The sequence below is a fragment of the Homo sapiens genome, chromosome 2 (assembly GCF_000001405.40).
Source record: "Homo sapiens chromosome 2, GRCh38.p14 Primary Assembly".
NCBI lineage: Eukaryota > Metazoa > Chordata > Mammalia > Primates > Hominidae > Homo > Homo sapiens.
The window spans coordinates 45,781,550-45,804,646 of record NC_000002.12 but is presented as its reverse complement, the minus strand read 5'-3'; the positions used below and the strand labels follow the sequence as shown (position 1 = coordinate 45,804,646).

General features: G+C 45.6%; 1 protein-coding gene across 19 annotated transcripts in view, besides 1 other annotated feature; it reads right to left on the bottom strand.

Moving 5' to 3' along the window:
* The window catches only part of PRKCE (protein kinase C epsilon), a 536,712-nt gene that overhangs the window by 383,344 nt on the left and 130,271 nt on the right, over window positions 1–23,097 (bottom strand). The window lies entirely within an intron of this gene.
* Window positions 17,097–18,296: an enhancer, noted in NCBI's record as "CDK7 strongly-dependent group 2 enhancer chr2:46013490-46014689 (GRCh37/hg19 assembly coordinates)". NCBI's record gives its function as "activates an origin of replication core promoter dependent on BRD2, BRD4, P300/CBP, MED14 and CDK7 cofactors, with strong dependence on CDK7, by STARR-seq in HCT116 cells {active_cell/tissue: HCT116}" and the evidence as "EXISTENCE:reporter gene assay evidence [ECO:0000049][PMID:35650434]".

The following is a 23,097-nucleotide window of genomic DNA, read 5'->3' as shown; positions in this document are numbered from 1 at the left end:
CATGAAGTCAGCCTCTACAAGGAGCTGGCCAACTCCAAAACCCAGGCAGCAGAGTGCTTTCTAGAACAGCCTGTAGAGATTTTCCCAGAGCTTGTTCCTTCTGCTACCCACATACTTCAGCACCTCAGTATAGGAGAAGTCATTGCTAACCAAAACAAGCCTTTCCTGATCTGCCTTGCTCAACCAGGCCAGGAGCTCTCAACCCTGGAAGGCCATTAGAATAACCTGCGGCCACCTCGACTCGGCATGCCCAGGTCCTCTCAATGGAATTCAGGTCGGTAGGGATGGGGTGGGGCCTGCACACTGGTGGTTTTTAAAGCTCCTCCACATAATGCTGATGTTTAGTCAGGGTTGAAACCCATTCCATTTTCTTTCCCAAAAGCCCTTGGCTTTGGCTACACAGCATTGGGTTTGCTCCTACTGGAGCCCTTGGCTTTGGCTACGCAGCATTGGGTTTGCTCCCACTGGCTGTGGCATCATCATAAAGCACCCACTAGAGTCATGCATTAAGCACTCCTGGCAGGCAAGACACTCAACTGGTGCTGTAGAGGTGGTGATGGGCCAGCCACAGATAGCCCAGGCAACCCAGGACCCTCTGTCTAGTAAGGGAGAAACAGGTTCCTGCAAGATGGTGAATCTGAGATTGGCTCAAATGTGAGACTAAATTTCCCTCTCCTGGATGGGGCAGGGATAAGGACCGGAGGATCCTGACTTCCAGCTTTGCCCATTAAACAACATCCTGTGTACAGAATCTCTGCAACTTTAGACAGACTATTTCATGGAGCCCCCACTCACCCTGCAAAGCATAATACATTATGTAAATTAATGAAATTTACAGTGTATACAATATTTTGGAGGGAAGCACTCTGTTATTAAAACATTTCAGAAACAATTTACTAAACATTTATTCCATTGACCTAAATTGAGCATAACCCACAGTGACTGAGCCAGTACTCATTACCGCTGAGGATGGTAAGAAGTCCTTGACTGTCCACATCCAAACCATCAGTAAATATTAAAGGCCAACCTACAGCTGGGGACCAAAGAGGGATTACATTTAAAAGCATCCTCGTGACCACTCCCCTAACTCAAATGTGACAAGCAGGGCAGAGGGATTCTAGCAAACCCTTCCCACTGTCTCTGATAATGCCATTGGGAAAAGCATAGCCACAAGCTATCTTCTAATCCTTGCCTAAAGAGAGTGGAAACTGTCCATATGGCAAAATTCCAGTGGGGAATAAACACTAGAGACTTCACTGTGTTCAAGGGTAGCACCAGCGCCTATGATGCTCAACAGATTCCAAAGCACTTACCCAAAATCTTTATTCTAGGACTTAATTTCAGTGTATTATTTCGTGGTGTGAAATGGTCACGGCTAAAAGACCAGATCATCCTGTACAATTCAAACACCTAGGTATAGACCAAATCTTGTTCCCTTGTATCTAAACATTCTCCTTTTTCTTCAAAGCTCATAATGTTTATTAATGATTCCTCTAAGATCCACCACGGTCTGAGACATGTTAAATTTTGAATTTCTCTTTAAGATTGCTTTGGAATATTGTTTAGAAATCAAGTGCCACCTTTCAAGCCATACCTTATTGCTTAAAAAAATACGTGTCTATACCTTTCATACTGTGAGCCAAATGGCTCCAATCTAAGTTGCTTGTTCACATAACACTTGGGCCTTCCTCGGTAAAAAGGTGACATTGCATCATATCCAGAAGCGAGCTGTGTTCTACAGTTGGTGACTAAAAACACTGAATAATAATCAAGATGGTCCTAGAAAATCTTAAAGCACCATATGATTTAGTGCATATACTGTGCATGTTTATACGTCTATGTCCACCGATCTTAATTCACAGTAAAGTTTGAGAGCCACTGAACTGGATCCCTATGGAAAGAACAAAAGAAAAGCTCATGTGTATTCCAGCCTTTCTGCTTTCAGAGATCTGTCAAATCCCGGGCTGTGAAGTGGGGCGGAGTGGAGCATTCTAAAGTGACTGACTTCCCTGGAGGGCTTACTCCATTTGCTTTTAATAGTGTACTTTAATACATTTTAATGTATTTGTTGTTGTGAAGATTACACCAGAAGACAGAGCCTCATCAGTGTGAGGCAGGCTGTGAAAGGCTTTATAATAGTCTACTCCGTTGAGGTTTTCAAAACACATTCACATCAATTACAGTAGATCATCTTATCTAAGATACTATCACTTTAAGATGGACCTTTATGCATCATTAATAAAGAAAAAAAAGGGACCAATATAAAATATAATAGCCTACCTTTGCCAGATGTATTTGGAATTCTTAGAAATTGAAAGTTGGAAAAATGTAAGATTTAACCAAATGCATACTTTATTTATTTGCTTATTTATTTACTCATGTATGAAGGAATGATAGGGTCTCACTCTGTCACCCAGGCTGGAGTGTGATCATAGCTCACTGCAGCCTTCTACTCCTGAGCTTCAACTCCTGCCTCACCCTTCCAAGCAGCTGAGACTACAGGCATGTACCACCATGCCCACACCCTGCTAAGTTTTTGGGTGTTTTTTTTTTTTTTTTTTTTAAGATAGGGTCTTGTTATGTTGCCCAGGTTGTTCTTGAACTCCTGGTCTCAAGTGATCCTCTCGCCTTGGCCTTCCTAAAGTGCTAGAATTACAGGCATGAGCCACTGGGCCTGGCCTAGTATTGCTTTCAAACCGCAGCCTAGATGTTAAGTATTATTATCCCCATTTTGTAGAAAAGGAAAGGAGAAGTGCAAAATTGACCCCAGCAGCAAGGCTAGGATCAGCACAACATTGAAACTTCTGACTTGGGTCTCTGGAGCATCCTCAGGCCACACCCACAGCAGCCTGCTTCAGGTTTGGCAACCTGTCCCATGGACAGCCAGGACACACCAGGGAAGAACGTCCTTTCTGGGGCTGCATTTCCTTTCCCACAGTCTCCCACCCTGGCTCTGCCCAACGGCCTTCCTCAGCCTCCTCTCTAGCTGGCTCTCAAACTGCACTCCCCATCTTCCTTCCCAGCACCTCATCCTAAATTCCCAGCATCTTGAAGCCTGACTGTGCAGAGTTTAGGACATATCACCTGAGCTGGAAACCTGGGCAGCATTCCCGCCTCCTCCCTCTCCCTCACCCTCACCCTCAGCACTCACTGATGACTGAGTCCTGTGGGATTTACCCCCTTCTCCACTGCTCCCCTTCCTGTTCCAATGAGCACAGCCCCAGTCCCCGTTTTTGCAACCCTTGGCCTGAAATTCCAGAACAGCAATCTAAATGGATTCCCTCCTCTGGCCTTCTCCCCTTCACATTCATCCCTGAAAATTCATTTTTAAATCCAACCTCTAATAAGGCACTAAAAATACCAAATGTCTTCCTAAAATTCAAATTTTCCTGGCCACTGGTCAGCTTAACACTCTTCTATGGTACCCCATGAGATCAAAGGAAGATCTCCTGAGCGCGGCCATCAGTCCCCACATGTGGCTAACTCTTCTCAACACATCTCTCACCACCCTGCTGAAAACTTGGCCCACTCAACTGCCTATACACCCGAGAACACTCCAGTGCTGCCACCACCTCTCTGCTTTCACTTATGCTGTTCCCCCTGCCTGGAATGCCCTTCCCCCCACTAATTCTTACCCATCTTCTGAGACTTGTTGAGGAATCTTTCCCAGGCAACTGCTGCATTTCTCTATGACTGCGTTAGTTTCCAGGTATTGTAATGATCTGCTCTTCTGCCTCTCTCATAGAGTGGATTATAATCCCCGGCTCTGGGAGGACCTGGAACCATGGCTCATGCATACATGTATGTCAGTGCCTAGCACAGTGCATGGTGCATAGGAGATAATTAGTGAAGATTTACGGGCCGAAGGAAGCCAGCTCTACTGTTAGTTCTACCCCCAAGTTCCTTCTCCAATTTTAATGGCGGAAGTTTTATTTTGTTCTTCTGCCTTGAACCCCATAGGTTGAAACTCCTTGTGGGGCTTAAGGCATGGACTTGACCCCTTGCCCAGCAGCCCAGTTCTGCCAAGACTGTGGCTCTCCCTTGTCCTTCTCTCCAGAACTTACTCCTTCTAGGAGTAAGGAGTGAAGGCTGCCCTCAAACCCCAGTCTAGACAGGCCTCTCATTGCCTATTGGCAAGAGCCTGTAGCCAACTGCTGACTAAAACTGCCCTTGGCACCTGCCAGGTGCCACAGGTCTACCTGGGCTCCAGCCACTCCAGCCCTGGCCCAGAAGCCTGACCAATGACATAGGCAACCTGATTGCTCTCTCGAGTCAGACCCCCCAGCATGAGGCTTTATGGAAGGGCTGCTGCCTGGGCAGTGTGACTCCCCATGCTCTCAAGGTGACTTATACTGAACAGCCTTTCCCGTTCAGTCCTTTCTTATTTTGTGAAAACACCCTGACCCCCAGCTGACCCAGCAACCTTGTAGCCTGACTGTGCAGAGTTTAGCATACTGCTCCATGCCTTTGCTTTAACACACTATCAAGTATCCAGCCGCTGGGCACTCCTGCGCCACCACTACCCTACCCTGCAACTATATTTTCATCTACCCAGCATTATACAAACTAGAGAACTAGGGGGAAAATCTCTCCCCACTTGACCAGCCTGGAGGTGACTACCCACATATCAGCCTTCCTCCTCCCCAGGACCCACCATGGAAACAGTCTCAAATCCAGGCTTTCTTTGTCTTGTGGACAAGAAGTCCAGACATTCAGATGCTAGGAGCTTAACCTACACCTCATTAAGCTGCAGCCTGGTGACATGACTGCAATTCCTGATCCTGCCTCTGCTGGAAAACCCTGACCCTAGACTGGGTCCTGATTCTGGTAACTACTTCTGACATCATCTCAGCAAGAAGAAATGGAATCTTCTCCTTGTACAAATTAAATGTGTGAGCAGTGCCATCCGCAGACTAGGGACAACAGGAGCCTGCCCTGAGCCCCATGCTTTAAAAAGTATCAGATTTTGAGTATGCACTAATTATACTGACATGTGCCTTTTAATTTTGAATATTTGGAAGACAATCTTTTTTTGAAAACATTGAAATAATTTTAATTTTTTAAAAAATATTCTTTTCTTTTAGAGACAGGGTCTTGCTACGTTGCCCAGGCTAGAGTGCAGTGGTTATTCACAGTCATGATCATCGTGCACAACAGCCTCCAACTCCTGGGCTTAAGCAATCTTCCCCACTCAGCCTCCTGAGTAGCTAGGACTACAGGCACATGCCACCAAACCTGACCAAATATTTTAACTTTTATATTTACTACAATTTATCTATTTACTAAATATATACTCAATTTTTATACACTTTGAATATAATTAAATTTCCTTGTGTAATTCTTTAGATCACTGAAAATGAGTATAAATTGGGATTATGATTGAAATAGAAAAGTGGAGCTCAGAAAAAAGGAGCTGAAAAGAATAAATAATAGAACATCAATAATGAATGAAAATGCTCACTTTTTTCTTTTTTTTTTTTTGAAACGGAGTCCCACTCTGTTGCCCAGGCTGGAGTGCCGTGGCACGATCTCAGGTTACTGCAAGCTCCGCCTCCCTGGTTCACGCCATTCTCTTGCCTCAGCCTCCTGAGTAGCTGGGACTACAGGAGCCCACCACCATGCCCGGCTAATTTTTGTATTTTTAGTAGAGACGGGGTTTCACCATGTTAGCCAGGATGGTCTTGATCTCCTGACCTTGTGATCTGCCCACCTCAGCCTCCCAAAGTGCTGGGATTATAGGCGTGAGCCACCGTGCCCGGCCAATGCTCACATTTTAAAAAACAGAAAACACCAATTATGTGCCCATAATAATAAGAAATACAATATAAAATATAGTTTTTTAAATTTTAAAAACACTGAAAACAGGTAAAAAAAAAAAAGCCACTTCTGTTGAGCATGGCCCATATACACTTTGAAACGATATTATAAATTCTCGATTTAATAAAGACTTAGGAAATAATTACTGATCAAAACAATGAAAATTAGCAAGAAAAATATTCCCATTAAATATGCAACTTGAACTTGATATTTTGCTTTCAATCATATAAAACTCTGGCTTTACACTTTTTAAATTTTGTCATTCTGAAGGTATATTTGTCAAGCTGGGAGGCTGGAACACATCTTAACAGTCTTTATGTTTGACATCTAATGTTTCAATATTTGGACACATTGTATATGGCTCTCCCTTAGCGCCTACAGGAGGTCCCACAAAAGTCGGGGGCAGGCATGTATGTGAGGCAAAGGAGGAGGCAACGTGTTTTGGTGGGGAGAGCTTGGGCTTCCAAATCCAAACCACAGCTCTGCTACTCTTAACTCTTGGGAGCCTCAGTTTCTATATCTCTAAAATAGACATAATAAAACCTAGCTTATATGCTCCACATATATAAATTCCTTTTTTATTTTAGAACTATTTATTTTTTATTTTTCCCATCTGCCTTTTACAATCTGGTTTAGCCTAATCCAATGGAGTAAACAGTGGTTTCCACTGTATACTTTATTTGCACAAACGACTTTGCTGAGCTCCTTGAGATCAAGGCAGGAGAAAGTACACTCATTAAGCCTGGCCTCTCTACCCGACACGCCAAGGAGCTGGCTCCTGGGTTAATCACTTTATGCAGCCCCAAGAATTCCTCACAGGAGTATAAAATGAGGAAATGAGAACAAGTCTACATTCCTGGGTTTTGGCGAAGGAACTCAGTAAGCCCAGCGCCTGTTTTGTTATGTTGGCAATGTGCATTCTCCTTCCAGCTACAATCCAGCTAAATACCAGAGTTCCATGAGAAGGCCTGGATCCCCTCAACCTTTACTGAGGTAGAGCACTTGTAAGAATAGCAGTACCTATGCTGAAAGCGCCAAGCGCCAAAGCTACCACGGTAGTCCCAATTGAAAAAGATGGGGCTGGGAAGAAAACAAAACTATGAAGTGCAATGCAGTCCTTCCTGAGCATGTGGACTCCAGCCATCCTCTGCGTAGTGCTGTTGCCCCAACAGCAGAGACCGCCCCAACCAAAGACAGGTCAGTTTAAATGTTCCTTGTCCTTCTCCCAGAGCTTCAGTGGGGTTGGCTGGCTTGCAGAGCGAATTAATTAAGGAGAACAACGGCCTCAGCCTGGTGCGTGCAAGAAGCCTGCTGGCAGGTTAAAAAAGCAAAACATAAGATGTGGCTCCCCAGCACTGTAAAAGGCACTTCTGCAAGTGAACAGGTATGTGGTGCACCATGGAACTGGGTCCACAGGTGTAAACTGAGATTGTTCTGGGCAAACCAGGGTGTGTGGTTACCGCAGTCGTGGAGAGCTGAGAAACCCTAGTAAGGACAAGGACATGCGTGGCTCCCTCCCTCCCCTTCACCCTGCAGCTTATTTCTGGTAGGGGTTTTGTTCTATGAAAGCTAAGCCATGAGGCAGAATGAGTAAAGTGGCCTTCCAACTGTGTGATGTCACCAGAATGGGTTTGGGTGCAGTCTCCCCACATGGACAACAAGCTAATGATACTATACCTGTTACATACAGGCGGTCACAGGCAATCTGTGAAAACATCAAACGCTAGACAGCAAGCATTATTCTCCCTCTTCCCAAAGCTGCTTTGTCTGAAACACTGACACTCCTAGGGATTCACCCTCTTGTACCATTGTGTCTCAAATAAATAGTAAATGGAGTTACGTAACCCTCAATGATGTCTTAACTGTTCTGAGCTCTTTATCTATAACATTAAAAAACAAAAATCCTCAAGGTGGCTGGACATGGTGGTTCGTGCCTATACTCTTAGCACTCTGGGACGCTGAGGCGCGAGGATCACTTGAGGCCAGGAGTTCATGAGCAGTCTGGGTAACATAGTGAGACCCCCATCTCTACAAAACAAAAAGTAAAACCTCGTGACCTGTGAAGTCTTTTCTAGCTCTGCAAGTCTTGACCTGGGCTCTGGGAAAAATGCACAATAGCTAAGAATGATGGCTCACCCTTGTTTGACCACAATGACATACCTGTATTTACTCATTTCATCCCCCCAGGTACCCAGTATATCATATCAACCCCATTTTGCAGGTGGAGAAGGTGAAGTCAGAGAGGTTAAGTTAATTGGCCTGGAAGCAGATTGCCCAAGTCAAGATAAGACAGTGCCACCTCTCAAGAAGTTCAATTTTAGTGATAATTTCAGTGAAATCATCATAAGAGATATAATAGCAGCCAATGCTTGTATTATGTGGCACCCATACACCAAGCATTGTTCTCATAATGTATATTAATTCATTTAGTGCTCATTACATCCCTAAGAAGTAGAAATTATTATTATCTTCGGTTGACACATGAGAAAATTAATGCATAAAGGGTTCAGTAACAGTCCAAGGTTTCTTACAGCTAGTGAGAGAGCTGGGGTTTGAAGCCAGGCAGCCTGGCTCTAGAGTCTATCATCAATTACTACGTTATACAAACGACACCTGGACATTTTGTCAGCCTAGAATAAGACAACTAACTGGGGCAGGCATGGGAATGGAGAACCTGGAGAAGACATCAAAGAATTAGCTGGAGTTCAGCAAGTAGAGCAGGGAAGGGCATTCTACACTGAAGGAACAGCATGAGCAAAGGCACAGAGGTGTGAAGAACAACTGCTTTCAAAGAAATGCAAAGAAGCTTAGAGTGAAGGGAGATGGAGGATGGGAGTATTGCTTAGAAATAATGAGCTGTGTTTATTTTCTATTCTTTTCAACTTTTCTGAATGCTTGAAATTTGAAAAAGCGCTGTCAAGCCTGGGTGGAGTGGAGGTCATGCTAAAAGCTGTGCAAACCTGCAGAAGACAACTCTGCGGGGGGTCTCACAGCATTGCCGAGCTCTGCTCTGCTCCTGGCCACCTGAGCAGGACCAGCAGACAGTGACATGAGAAGGGGCAAAGAACATAGTGGCCAATCCCAGGAAGCACCCTGCTGACGGAACCAGGGCCCACAGAGCCAGTTTGTGTGGTTTGAAGAAGCTGACTATGACCTTCAGGCCAGGTGGAGAATCCAGTATGGAGAGCAGCAGAATAGACTGGGCAATTAAAAATGTTCAGGCCGGGCGCAGTGGCTCACATCTGTAATCCCAGCATTTTGGAAGGCTGAGGAGGGTGGATCACCTGAGGTCAGGAGTTCGAGACCAGCCTGGCCAACATGATGAAACCCCATCTCTACTAAAAAAATACAAAATTAGCCAGGCGTGGTGGTGGGCACCTGTAATCCCAGCTACTCGGGAGGCTGAGGCAGGAGAATCACTTGAACCCGGGAGGCGGAGGTTGCAGTGAGCTGAGATCACGCCACTGCACTCCAGCCTGGGTGACAAGAGCAACACTCCATCTCAAAAAAAATAATAACAATAATGTTCAAGTGGTTCAGGTTTGAGGGAGAGCAGAGCATGGATGTGGTGGTGCGGGGTGGTGGGAGAGTTGAGGGCAGGGTCAAAGCTCTAGGTGGAAGGTCTGGTCACTCCACGACACGCCCATGCCAAGGAAGACCAGAAACTGTGAGGCTGGGGCCCTGGCTGGCTCATCAGCATGGATGCTGCAGTCTCTGGAAACCCCCGTGGGGGACCTCAAGAAGGAGAAGAGGTGCTGGCCTCACCTCCTCAGAAGGTGGGGTCATGTACCTCGAACAGACAGGGCTGGGTGGCACAAAGATGAAAGGAAAGAGTGGAAAACAACAGCAACAAACCAACAACAGCAGAAGCGGAGTCTGAATCACTCTGCTCTCATTAGCTCTGTGATCTTGACATTTCTACTTGTTTGAGGTTCAGTTTCTTCTCCCGTTAAGAAAAAAAGAAATGGTGGATGGGGGGGGGGGTAGGGCAATAATTGTCCCTCCCCCATAGGATTCTATAGGTGATCAATAAAGGATGTCTATCATTTTGATGAATACTTCAAGTAATTAGAAGTGGAGGAGGCTTGTATTCGAACAGTCCAACCTTGGGAGTGGGAGAGGAAGAAAGGAAGTCAGAGATGTTCAGAAGGAAAATGAAAAAGCAGTGAGTGGTCAGAGACTGTCACACATCTCCCTCCAGAGACGGGGCTGTCAGGCGAGATCCATGCCCTTCCTGAGATTCCTTGCCACAGCCTTGCCCAGGTTCCTCCCCAGGCGCTTGAAACCACAGAAAGCCGTGCATCAGGGTCCGTGCTAGAATACCGCAGGAATGAGAACGAATTGGCACCCTGCTTCATCCAGGCTGGTTAACCCCTCCCTTGAAAGATAAGAAAGTACTCAGCCCAGAGTGTAATTCCTTCCTGTCTGCCCCGTCAATGCATTTGCCATTTTCAAAAACAAAAATCCCTCCCTGAATAATTCATTATTCGAAGGAAACGCCAGCCCAGAGTGCGCCACTCCATTTACTCTGACATAAGAGCTCATCTCGGGCCATGTGTATGTGTTTCTGAAAAGGATCCACATGAGCAATCGCTTTTTAAAACGTCGATATCCGAGAAGGCAAGCAGAGAGTTTAAAAGGGCCATAATTCATAAATCAATGATGCCACACTCCTGAGGAAGAGTTCTGCATTGACTGGTCAACAATTCCATTTGCAACAAGCTGAAACATCTGCGTCTCCCTGCTTCTCTAGCTGGGGTCCCAGGGCGGCTGCCCCACGATAATAAGGCAAGGTTTTAGGGCTAATCCGAATCATACTCTCTGGGATTCAGGCATGGAGATGTGGGATTGCTGTGGATTTTATCTAAACCTTTTCATTTCTGTTAATATCCCAATAACTAGAACCAATCCGAACCAAGCAAGAAAAAAAAAATGTGAACACTCATGACTCAGAGTCCTTTGTTCCTGGCTATGTAACAGGGCTGTTCACCAGTCAGTGTGAGACCCTGTCCTTGTCCTTGACAAGCACCAGCACAGGTTTAGCCCGGATCCCAGTTCCAAACATATCTAGGGGGAAATTTAAACAATTGTTGCTGTTTTTGATGGTTCCTGATGGCCTCGATCAAAGTATGGTGTTTGGCCTTGATCATGGCTGTGAAAACAAAACTCTACACCTGGAATTGGCTAACTGCCCAACATATGCTCACACAGAACTCAAAGGCCAGAGCATCAGAGAGAAAATCAGTAAGCTGAGGCCACCGTCTGGAGTTGCTTTTGGACACATACTTTACCATTGCTAGAGAAAAACAACCTGCAGCTTGGATTCATCAGTAATCTTCATTGCAGACAAACGAGATAGAACACCTGTCAGCTCTCAGGGTTTCCAAAGAGCAGGATTTGGGGGAGTCTGGGTATAATTTTTTCTTCTTTCTTCCCCTCTCAGCTTGCCTCCCTCCCCCGAAGTGTCTAACCAAACATGGAACACACAAGAGCAGAAGAAGAAAGAGAACAAGCGAGAAAGAAGAGCAGCAGCCCAGGAAACAGATGGAGAAATTGGGGGATTGGGAGCTTTGCATTTTCCCCATTCGCCCAAATTCAACAAATAGGAAGGCTCCTCTGCAGCTCTCTCTCAGTCAGCAAAGAGCTTTCCAGGACATTTTGTTTACTCAACACCTCTTCTCTGCCCTGCTTAAATCTATTCTGGAACAAGGAAGGGCAAATAAATTAATTAGGCTGGGTAGGGTGGCTCACGCCTGTAATCCCAGCTCTTTGGGAGGCCAAGGCGGGCAGATCACCTGAGGTCAGGAGTTTGAGACCATCCTGGCCAACATGGTGAAACCCCGTCTCTACTAAAAATACAAAAATTAGCCAGAAGTGGTGGCGGGTGCCTGTAATCCCAGCTACTCTGGAGGCTAAGGCAGGAGAATCACCTGAACCCGGGAGACAGAGGTTGCAGTGAGCCGAGATCGTGCCACTGTACTCCAGCCTGGGTGATGGAGCAAGACTCTGTCTCAACAAAAAAAATTAATTAATTATACCACCTACCATTTATCAGTGCTCACGACAAAATGGATGCACTTTTACAATAAGCATTATCTCATTTAATCCTACAACCAGTCCTTGAAGAAAGAAACTCTCCTTAACCCCATCTTTCAAGGCAGGAAACCCAGGCACAGAGAGGCTACGTAGATTATCCAGAGTCACACAGTTAGTGAGCAGTAAAAGTGGGACAGGAACTTGAGCACCAGGCAGCAGAAGCCACCCTCGGCCAGCATCTCTCCTGCGTGTTAGAGCCACCAGAACAAGCTGATAGAAGGGAAAGGGTGGGAAGGGCACCCTTCTCTAGCTTTGTGTTTGGGGTAGGGATGGAAAGTGACCACTGACAATAGCTTAGCATTTACTGAGCACTCATCGTATGCTATGATTTGAGTTGTCCCCGCCAAAACTCATGTTGAAATGTGATCCCAAGTGTGGTGGTGTTGGGAGGTGGGGCCTCATGAGAGGTGTCTGGGTTATGGGGATGGATCTCTCATGAATGGCTTGGTGCCATTCTCATGGTAGTGAGTTCTTGCTCTGGGGAGACTGGATTACTTCTGGTGAGACTGGGTTGTTAAAAGCCAGGACACCCCTCAGGTTTGGCCTCTTTGCACCACTTCCCCTTTGCCCTTCTGCCATGTTGTGACACAGCACGAAAGCCCTCACCAGATGCCAAGCAGATGCCAGCACCAGGCTTCTGGAGCTTGCCATCCTGCAGAACCATGAACTAAGCAAGGCTCTTTTCCTTATAAATTATCCAGCCTTAGCTATTCTGTTAGAGTAACACTAAATGGACTAAAACACTGTGTGTCAACTAAGCACTACAGGCATGTGGTCATTTACAAATACCCCGTGGAACAGGTGCCATTATCCTCATTCCAGGGATAAGAAAACTGAGACCCAGAGAGGTCCTGTGGGTCAAATGTATTTGAACCGGGATTCTCATTGAGAGAGCTGGGGTCAAAGCCCGTGCTCCTGACCATTATGCTCCACTGGAGTTACAGATGGCAGTGAGCATCTGAGCCTCAGTGACCCTTTAGCACCAGCAAGGGCAGAGAGGAGCGCATTAACCCAGCATCAAGGAAAGGCTGTCTTTAAGGAAAGTACACCACTTTGCGCAGCTACCCATAAAGATTCTAGAGTGAAATAAGCTATCAGAATTTAATTCTGCAGGTATTCACTCAGGCTACTATTTGTTTACTCAAGATCAATCAATTGACCCCATTCTTCAAGAAAGAACTAAAAGAAAGAAAAGAACTAAAAGAAAGAGGATATGGAAGGAAAGGACATAGGGAATTATACAAATACAGTGTAATGCTGAGCCTGCTGGCCCACAGGGTAGCCTGAAACTAGAAGGGGGCAAGGCCCAGCGGGTGTAGGGCCTGCTCTTGGGGCTCCATGGGTAAAGGGACTCTGGACCAGGACCCCCACGTGCTCACTATAGCTTTCCCCACTGAAAGCCAGAGAGCTTGCCTTACAGTCTTTTCCATCTCTCGCGTTCTGTTATTTTTAGTTGGTTTCAATCTTTGGACAGCAGGAACCTCTTTACCAGAAAGCTCAATATGTAAAAAGGACTTAAAGGGGCTGATTAGGTGGGAATGAGGAGGTTCAGCAGGGCACAGAAACTATCCCTAGTCCCCAAGCCCCGTGACCAGTCAGAGGCACCTCTACCAGCCAATTCAGAGACCTCTACACAAAACCTTCCCTTCTTCACCAAAGTGAGCTGGCTGTAGACTGCAGACGTTTGTGCGGAGGTGGAGGGGCTGGAACACATGCCTGCTCTGTTCCCTTTTCAAAGGTCTGGAGACGCTGGCCTGGCCTCTGTGGGAGGCCTACACGCCTTTCTAGAGGTCCTTAATCAGGTACGGGCCTCAGGTGTCTGATAGTTGTGCCACCACATTCCCCGCTTACCACCACCAGCACCATCATCAGGACCAGAAGTTCATACTGTCAGCTACTTGTTAGAGAATCAACAGCCTTGAAAACTTCCAAGGATTGTGCAGAAACAGATACAAAGTGTATTCACAAATCAATTTCCCAGAGCATAGTACATCCCTTCTCAAGCCGAATAACCTTCAAAATCTGAAGAAGATGAAAAAGGAGAAGAAAAACGTGAAGGGTTACCCAAGGTTGCAAGCACAATGGCCAGAATGTGTGTAAATACTGGACTGGCCCTGTGTGCTTTGGGTCCTCTGACAGAATGGCCATTTCCTGCAGCCCCATTTCCTCTCATTGTATTTCAGTGGAACAAAAATGTTATAGAGAGCAGCCACTCAGTCACATAGGTTATTTTAATAGATACATCCTACAAGCCTTGAAAACTTGCTCTACGCTCTGATAACAAGGCTAAAAATATCACAGGCCCTATTAGCAGATTTGAGGCTCCAAATCAGTGAGACTGGAACACACGTGTGTGTTTTTCTCAGCGCATCCTGCAAGTTTTCCCACGTGCTGCCACCCTCGACACATTTTCATATTATCTTTTCCCCTGAATCTCGGTTGAAACTGATGCTTTCATACAACACTGGAGGATTTGGTGGCATTGATGATCTCTTCAGCATTCCTCATTCAGCTGCACATTTCATCCAAAGGCTGAAGGATGCTCTCATTTATGCATATGTGCATTTTTGCAACTACAAAATGCACGGTAGACAATACTGAAGAGCTGGCTACACAGGAACTGTCTGTCCCAAGAGCCATCACAAAAGAGCTGATCTTTCCACAAACCACTTGTGAGCTCCTGCCAGCTCTGTAATTCAGGGCCACTCTCGAGATTTCCACTCTTGGGACCAGAGATAAATCTTTGGTGTCCCAGGCGTTTGATCAAAGCTCTTCTTTCCTTCATTATCCTATCAATATGAATGAACACTACCATTTAGGTGTCAGATATGTAAAGCTAATCTAAAGACACAAGTTTTCATTATCTTCAGAAAGATACTAATACATTTTTTAAAATTCCGAGCTTCTCAGAAAATGTAGATTTAAAATATAAATATTAATTACAGGCAAAATATCTTAAAGTTGTGATTCTCAGCCCTGACTGCTCATTAAAAATGGGTGGCAGGGGTATTTTCAAATGATTCCTAGCTCTTCCAGATGGTTCTTAAGGACAGCCAGGGCTGAGGGTTGAGAATCCCTGTCTTTCCCCCCTTTCCCCCAACCAGAGAGACAGTCTCACTCTGTTGCCCAGGCTGGAGTGCAGTGGCATGATCATTAGCTCACTGCAGCTTTGAACTACTAGGCTCAAACAATCCTCCTGCCTCAGCTTCCTGAGTAGCTAGGACCACAGGCAGGAGCTATGCTCCACTGGAGTTACAGTGATGAGTTACATGCCCATATGATTTAAAAAATTTTTGTAGAGCCAAGGTCTCACTATGGTCCTAGGCTTTTGTCAAACATACACATTAGCACAGTGAAAGAAGACATGCAATAAATGCATGAACTGTGAACAGTATTTTAATAAATGTATTAAATAATATGGTCAATCTTATGGTCTCTGTACACAAATTTCTGAGTTATCACATTATTATACAAAATCCAGAGGCACCTTTTCTTTTGTAGACATGGGATCTTGCTATGTTGTCCAGGCTGGTCTTGAACTCCTGTCCTCAAGCAATCCTCCTGCTTCAGCGTCCCAAAGTGCTGGGATTATAGGCATGAGCCACCTTCCCCCACCAAGAACCTGTCATCTGTCTTAAAAGACACAAGTCTTCAGTGCGGTGGTTTTGCGAGGGTCTAAGTGGGTGGTTCTCCACCTTGCTTGCACATTAGAATCCCAAGGAGAGTTATTAAAATGCATGGGACACATCTCCAAAGATTCTGATTTAATTGGTCTGGGGTAGGACTAGGTTCTGGTATTTGAATATTATTTGAATATTCAGCCAGAGTTGAGGACCAATGGTGTAAGTCAATGCCCTTCTCTGATTGACCTATCCTTAAACATATGAAGCTAAAGAATCAGGAAATGTATCTTCATATATTTCTTCAGACCTAAAAATCCCGAGAATAGCACTACTTTGCCTACTTTAGACAGAAAGTAAGTAATAAAGGCATCTGAATAGAGAATTAGATTTGATGTTATAATGTCCACATACATCCCTTTCAGACGGAGTGTCCCTCTGGTCCTCATGAAAAGCTTGTTTCATTTCATGCACTGTTGAAACAAGATCACTTATCTGGTTTCTAAACCAACAGCTGATCAGAATCAAGTAAATTAGAGGCAATGGAGGGGTAGGTAGAAAGGATGAGAGAGGCTGTGTAGAAGCAGGCCCCCTGATTGCAATGAGAAGTGAGTGCTGATAGAGAAGACACAGAAAAACTGAAGTAAGTAGACACTGCACGTAAAAACACTGGAGTCAGGATTCTCTAATGAAGGGACAAACACCTTGATGTATCCAGAATGGCTCTGTGAACATCAACGTGCCACTGCATAGCAACATTACCGATGCTCCTAAGAAAAGCCCAGAGTCACCAAGGATGAGTTAAATTATGTTCATTATAACCATTTTATGAAAGCTGAAATAGGGGTGATGACTTCCATCCAAAATAGTAATAATAAAAGGTAAGTGTAGTTTAAGGAATACGCCTTTAGCTATTTGGAAATTGCAGTCACCCAGAACAACCCATGCCCTGAGAATCCCAAGTAGCCACAGACTTCAGTAGGAGACACTTTGGCAGGAAAAGTTTCGGCTTGACCAGGAAGAAATCCTGTCCCTCTCAGAGTCAGAACACGGTGAGGCCTGAAATGGGGGAGAATATTATTGAACGATCCTGACCTTCAGGGTTTCTAGGCACACACAGGGTACTCCAAGCTTTCATTGAAAACCTAACATGAGAGACAGCTAAGACAAAGGGAGAGCAGTGAGAAGCCTCTGTGGCTGGCAGGATCGCAATGCTCTGGATGGGCCGCTGGTTACATATCACTCCCCTGCACAGGATCTCCAGGCCTGCAATTCCTTGCTGAGAACTTCATCCCTTGAGGTCATACATCCCACTACCCAGACACTTTCTTTAGATGCAAAAATCCATGGGATGGTTAATACCTGTATCGCGAACCCTGAGCCAAGTTGTCAGGTCTCTTCTGTTGATACGGTAAGCCTTGTCGTTTTCAATATCTTTCCCCTCTCCAGATGAAATCTTATATGGAACCCAAATATATTATAAAGAGAAAATGGGATACCCCTGGTTGAAGGGCTTTCCATAGCATGAGTCTTGTCACCCCTCCCTCTCATCAGGTTCCCATGAAACACCTGTTTAGGAAACCATCTGGAAAAGACCTGCCTGGCTCCATTGCCTACAACTGAACTTCCCCTCCCCAGACGCACCTGCAGGCTCAGTCCCATTCTGTGGCCAGCATTGCCCAGAGGTGATGACTGGTCAGGGGCCTCTCAGCTGCTATTCAGCTCAGATGTCTCTGACTTTGTGTCTCTCTCTCTCTCTGTCTCTGTCTCTCCCTCTCCCTCATCACATTTTATCCTACTAGGCTATTTGTTCTCCAAATCCACCCCCAAAACTATCTAGGTGTGATCATTGAGTTCCTGTGCCTGGAATCCCGTTTTGGTCAAGCTTCCGAGCCTGCACTCAGCTCCAGCTATCACCAGCTCCTGTTGAGAAGCTCAGCGCCCCCAGCAGGGCTGCCAGCTACAGCCACGCTCCTCCCAGCTTGGGGGGACACCTCACTTCCAAATGGCCAAGTGTAGATTTTCCCACATCCACCAGCAGATAAGATTCACTCAGGGTCTCTATTCAATGTGCAGATTCCCAAACCCATAGGATCATCGGATCCAGGGGAAACCGATGGGAAATCCCGACTTGAACCAAAGCCTCAAGTGACTCACCAGGCGAGTTTGAGAAACACCAGCTTCCTGGTTAACAGTGAGGTTCTGGAATCGTATTCCCTAGGGTTTGAATCGCATCTCTACTATTGCCATGTGATTTTGTGCAAGTTACTTCAGCTGTCTAAACCCTCGGTTTCCACCTCTGTAAAACGGGGGTGAGGGTAGTGGTTACCTCACTGAACTGTTGGAGGATTAGGTGGCCAAGAGGCTGTACACAGCACTCAGAGCCTGCTTGGCACAGGGTGAACCCCCAGTAAGGTTTGCTGCTGTTCCTTGATAATAAACTTAAACCCTTGCCCCCTCACTCCCACCCCTGAATCTCATACAAAATACTCTGTCTTCCCAGTTGAACCTCCAGTGCCAAGGTCTGAAGGCCCCTAAGGCCTGTCCTGTTCCTGTTAGTGGGGCCTGTCTGCTTCAGGTCTTGTTGAAGTGAATTAGGTAGTGTGCAGATGGAAACTAAAGATAAAATGGCTGAAAGCAGATACTAGGAGCAGCCAGAAAGAGAGGGAGTGGGTGGGTACAGAAACGGAAGTTGCGGTAGGGAATACAAACTTCACTGATGTCACAGTTTTCTTGGAACCCCACGGATGAGGCGGTTAAACAGCAACTGTCACTTGAACTGTCTCTTCATTGTAACTCCTCCTGGAAACTTGGGATGAATTCTACTGTGTGGCCAGGCCAGGGAGACACAGAGACGCTGGACAGGCAACCTGGAAAGCCCAGCACTCCCTGGAAACCGGAGAGCAAGAAGCAGCACGGGGGATAAATAAGTCACTGGCAGACTGCAATCAATGCCCCTTGCTAATAATACATTGCTCATTTCAAATAAAGATCCCCAGCAGGTGCCTATGGAAGGCCATAGGTCCCTGGAGAGAAGCAGGTATCTATTCACCCCCACGATGACCCAGCAGGGCTGTGAGACTCTAGACCCCTCAGCAGCGCTGAGGCAGCATGACTGCAGCAGAACCCTAGGAAGGTTCTGGGTCTCAGCAGCAGGTGCCTAAGGGAGAGGTTTCAAGGCAACGAGCCATCCCTGCTGTCTCCATCTTACTCCAACAGCTCAGTCTGCCCGGTGCTGCATGTGAGGCAGAGGTTCGAGTTTGGCCTCCTGGTGTCATAGGAGCACTCCCATCTGTTGTGCTTCCTCGGCCTGGGTTGAGTGGTCTCCAGTTCACCACAGATCCCCTAACCCTGACCAGCATCTCTCAGTGCCACTGGCTCTGAGGGTAGTGGTCACCATAAGTTTGGAAAACAAAACCAGGTGCTACATAGGATGCCTGAGTGATGCCCAGTCAGAAGAACAGATCGTGTTCAGCAAGAGTCCTCATCCATCCCACAGGGACACCTGAAGTAGTAGCTCCCCTTCTACAGCGTTTCTCAAACCTCTGCCAGTCATGCACTGCCTCCAGCTTTCACCATATATGTTTACCACTTACATTTCTTTTTTTTTTTTATTCTTTTTTTGAGAGGGAGTCTCATCTGTCACCCAGGCTGGAGTGCAGTGGCATGATCTTGGCTCACTGCAACCTCTGCCTCCCAGGTCCAAGCAATTCTCCTGCCTCAGCCTCCTGAGTAGGTGGAACTACAGGTGTGTACCACCACACCCAGCTAATTTTTGTAATTTTAGTAGAGACAGGGTTTCGCCATGTTGGCCAGGCTGGTCTCTAACTCCTGACCTCAAGTGATCTGCCCGCCTCAGCCTCCCAAAGTGCTGGAATTAAAGGTGTGCGCCACCGTGCCTGGCCTCTTTTTTTCTTAAATAATTTTCTTTTAAAAGAAAAATGCTATAATACAACTTAAGAAAATTAGATTCACTGGCCATAGTATTTTTTAATGCAATGAAAATGAAATAATATCATGCTAAGGCCCTCTGCCTCTGTGTGAAGAGGGTGATAAGTATTAGAGAGATGGTAATGACACTCTAGCCCTAAGCTGAGAGTTTCTCTTTGATTTGATGAGAAGGACTGAAAGAAAATTAGAGGAAAAGGATAAGAAATACCTTTATATTTTTGAGGTATAGTACCAGATCTTAAGTGTACAGTTTGCTGAGTTTGACAAATCACATATACTCCAATAAAGACAAAAAACATTATCATTATTCCAGAAAGTTCTCCCCTTCTCCTTCACAGTCAAGTACCCAACCAAAGTCAACCACCATTTTCCTTTCTATCCCCATAGGTTCATTTTTTTCTGTTTTTGAATTTCATATTATTGGCTCACAGGCGTAGCTTCATCACTGTTAAATCAAAGTTCTGCTCATGTTATACTTTTGTAAGTGTTTGAAATTTTTCAAAATAAAAAGGTTTGTTTAAAAAAAAACAAAAAGCTAGGAGATGCCCTGTTCTTACTTTATCTAAAATCTTCTCTAGACCCTCTAACCCTCTAATGGGATGAGATCTACAATTTGGGGCACCATGAACTGGGAAGACATCAAATTAGGAAATTGGATTCCGACTTTGCAAATCCCAACACGAAGCTGATTATAGCACTGATTTGCCAAAGTTTCTCCGGCAAATCCCAATTAATCTGATTATCTTTTAAGCTCTCCAAATGTAAGTCTTCTCCTAGATTCACAGCCAGCCCACTTCTTCCTTTTTTGGCAGGTTCGGTTCCACACCTCACCCGCAAGTGGCCCTCACGCCTACAGGGGCCTTGTCAACACTGCTCCCTCTGCAAAGACCACCTTTCTCACTGCCTCCAATTCCATGTCTTCAGCTCCTTCCTTGGGATCCTGGCCAAGGCCAAAGCCTCTCCCCTCCCTTAAAATCAAGTTTACACTGCACATTTGCACTTGGCCTTCTTTGCTTTGCATTGCTACTTTTCTTTTAATATGAGCACACTTCATTCCTTCAACTAGACCCTGAGGTCCTTGAGCGCCAGCACAGAGCTCTCCTGACATCCAGAGAAGATATTGGATACAGCGATGCTAGTGGGTGAGTGTGTGTGTGACTGAACTGACATGAAATCTCCCTGCAGGTTGGATCCTAACAAAGTTCGAAGTCATGGCCTGGAAGATGAAGAAAGAAATGAATGGAGGCTGCAGCAGTTTCTTCAGACAGATCTATGCTTTCTGTGACTTTCCTATCACAGGTCCTGAGCCCCAGCACTACACATTCAGATTCAACAAGTCCGGAGTAGGGCTCTAGAGCTTGCACACTTCCCGGCTCCTAGAAGATTCTAAGATGGGAGGCTCGTGAGCCACACCCAGAGAAACACCATCCTGTGACCAGAGAACAGGTTAGGATACTGAACATCCCCTCATCTGCAGACCAAGAAAAACTGAGTTCTTGGCTAGCATGGAGCCTAACTTGTGTTTTAGTTAATTCTACTTCTGTCACTGGAGGTTGGATTAAACAGTAAGAGAACGACTTCCATACAACCAAAGGTGAACATAAGGTATAAAAAACCTGCAGATAGAAGTAGATTCCCAAGGAGGGAAATGCTGAAACCCAGCAAAGGAGATGACTGCAGTTCCTGACCTGAGACTCCGTCCTATTTCCCTTATGACATTACCCAGTGGTGCTTTTCCTGTTCCTAGAAAGAAAACCAACAGGGTGCAGCCTTCGGTGGGTGGGGGTCTATGTGTGCACAAGTGCACACAGTGATTTTTATATAAAAAGGCTCACCACAGGACAGCCACCAGCAGGATGATGCCCAGAGCACCGGCATTCTTACCATAGCTAAAGAAAACCCTGAGTATTTGGCCTCTGCAACCAGGGAACAAAGGGAGTTTTGAGATGGCTGTGCGTAAAGGAGCTGGAAGTCATTCCAGCATTTAGAGCTTCAATTGAAAATAAACAAACAGCCCAAGCCTTCCCCAGGACCCAGTCTGCCAAGCACCAGCCTGGGAGTGCACACTGGCCACTGGGGCCAGCACATGGCTATTTATATTCATAATCCAATTTGGACGGGGAAGGCGCATGAAAATAAATTGATTATCTTGAAACTGTAAGAGCAAAATTCATCAGGACAAAAAAGTAATGAAATAATATAGAGGAAGTACCTGAGTAGGTCATCTGAGGGGATGTTTCTCGTGAACTGTCTCCAACCCAGTTTGCTTTCTGGATTCAGACACGAGAAAACTGGCTGACAAAGTTCCAGAAATCACATGCCAACATGTGGATAGAGCTTTGCTGAGTATTTTTCCCCTTTTCTGGGTGTGTGTGTGTGAGTGTGTGTGTGTATGTGTGTGTATATATATATAGTTGTGTGTGTGTATAGATTGTTTGACAGAGGGTTGATTATCTCAACTCAGTTTCTAGCTGGTGAGGAAGAAAAGTGGACAGTTCATAAAAAACAACCATCTTTCCCAAATCTGAGGGTCAAACACAAGGGTACATTATCTTGGAAACACTGGCTTTCTATCTTAGGTCTTGCCCATCCTCTTTTCCCTAGAGGCTAGATTCAACTCTGCCTTCCCACAGGAACAATAGCAACCATTTATGACGCGTGTGGGATATGTCACCGGCTGGAGATGCACAGTCAGGAATAACCTGGGATGGGGACTCTCGGCCTATTTTAAAGATAAGGAAATGGAGGATCAGAATCGAAGTGACTAACCCAACACCACCTCGCTAATCAAGTGGGGACTTGGGATTAGAACCCAAGTCTGTCTGGGGTTTGTGTTGTGACACCATACTGCCTCCCTGAAAAAACCTAAGGACAGTCTCTAAAATCAACATTCATTCCCAGGAAATGGGCACTTGCTGGGGTCAAGTCGGAAGATGGGCCTGGACGAGAGGAGGCTTGGTAAAGCACTGATAGCTTGGAGTTGAGAAAGTATCCCTTTCTTAGCTCAGCTCCGAAGAGTTTACAAGACAGACTTAAGGAGAAACACTTTCACGGACTGCATCTATGAAGGCTGGCCCTTAATTTGAGCTTTCTTCTCTCTGTAGATGAATTATTTAAAAATAAAATAATTTTGATAAAACTCATAACCAAAAACGAGGCTCAAACCTCACCTCCATTTATTATCTATTGGTCCTGAGAAAGGATGTAACCTGTCTAGGATTCAGGTAATTTGTTTTTCAAGTGAGTAGACTGAAGAGGGATGGATGAGGCAGGACCCTGGACCAGGGTGGCTTCTGTGGTCCCCTCTAGCAATGAAATTGATGATTCTAATAACTAACAGAAGTAACCCCGCACTGTGGTGTCCTAGACACCACAGGAGTTTAGGAAAGTGATAATGAGAAGCTATTTTGAATATTTCTGAAAGCCTAAAGAAAAGCAAATATTTCACAGAGATCAGACCACACAGCAAACTACATTATCAGATGTAGCTGTTCCAATATCATGTCGGGGGCCGGGGGGCGGGCGCGGGTGGAGGCCCTGCATCAGCTGCTGGTGATGAGCATCTCTTGTTCTGAGTAAAGCTCCCTGCACCTGTTTCAAAGGTTCTGCCTGT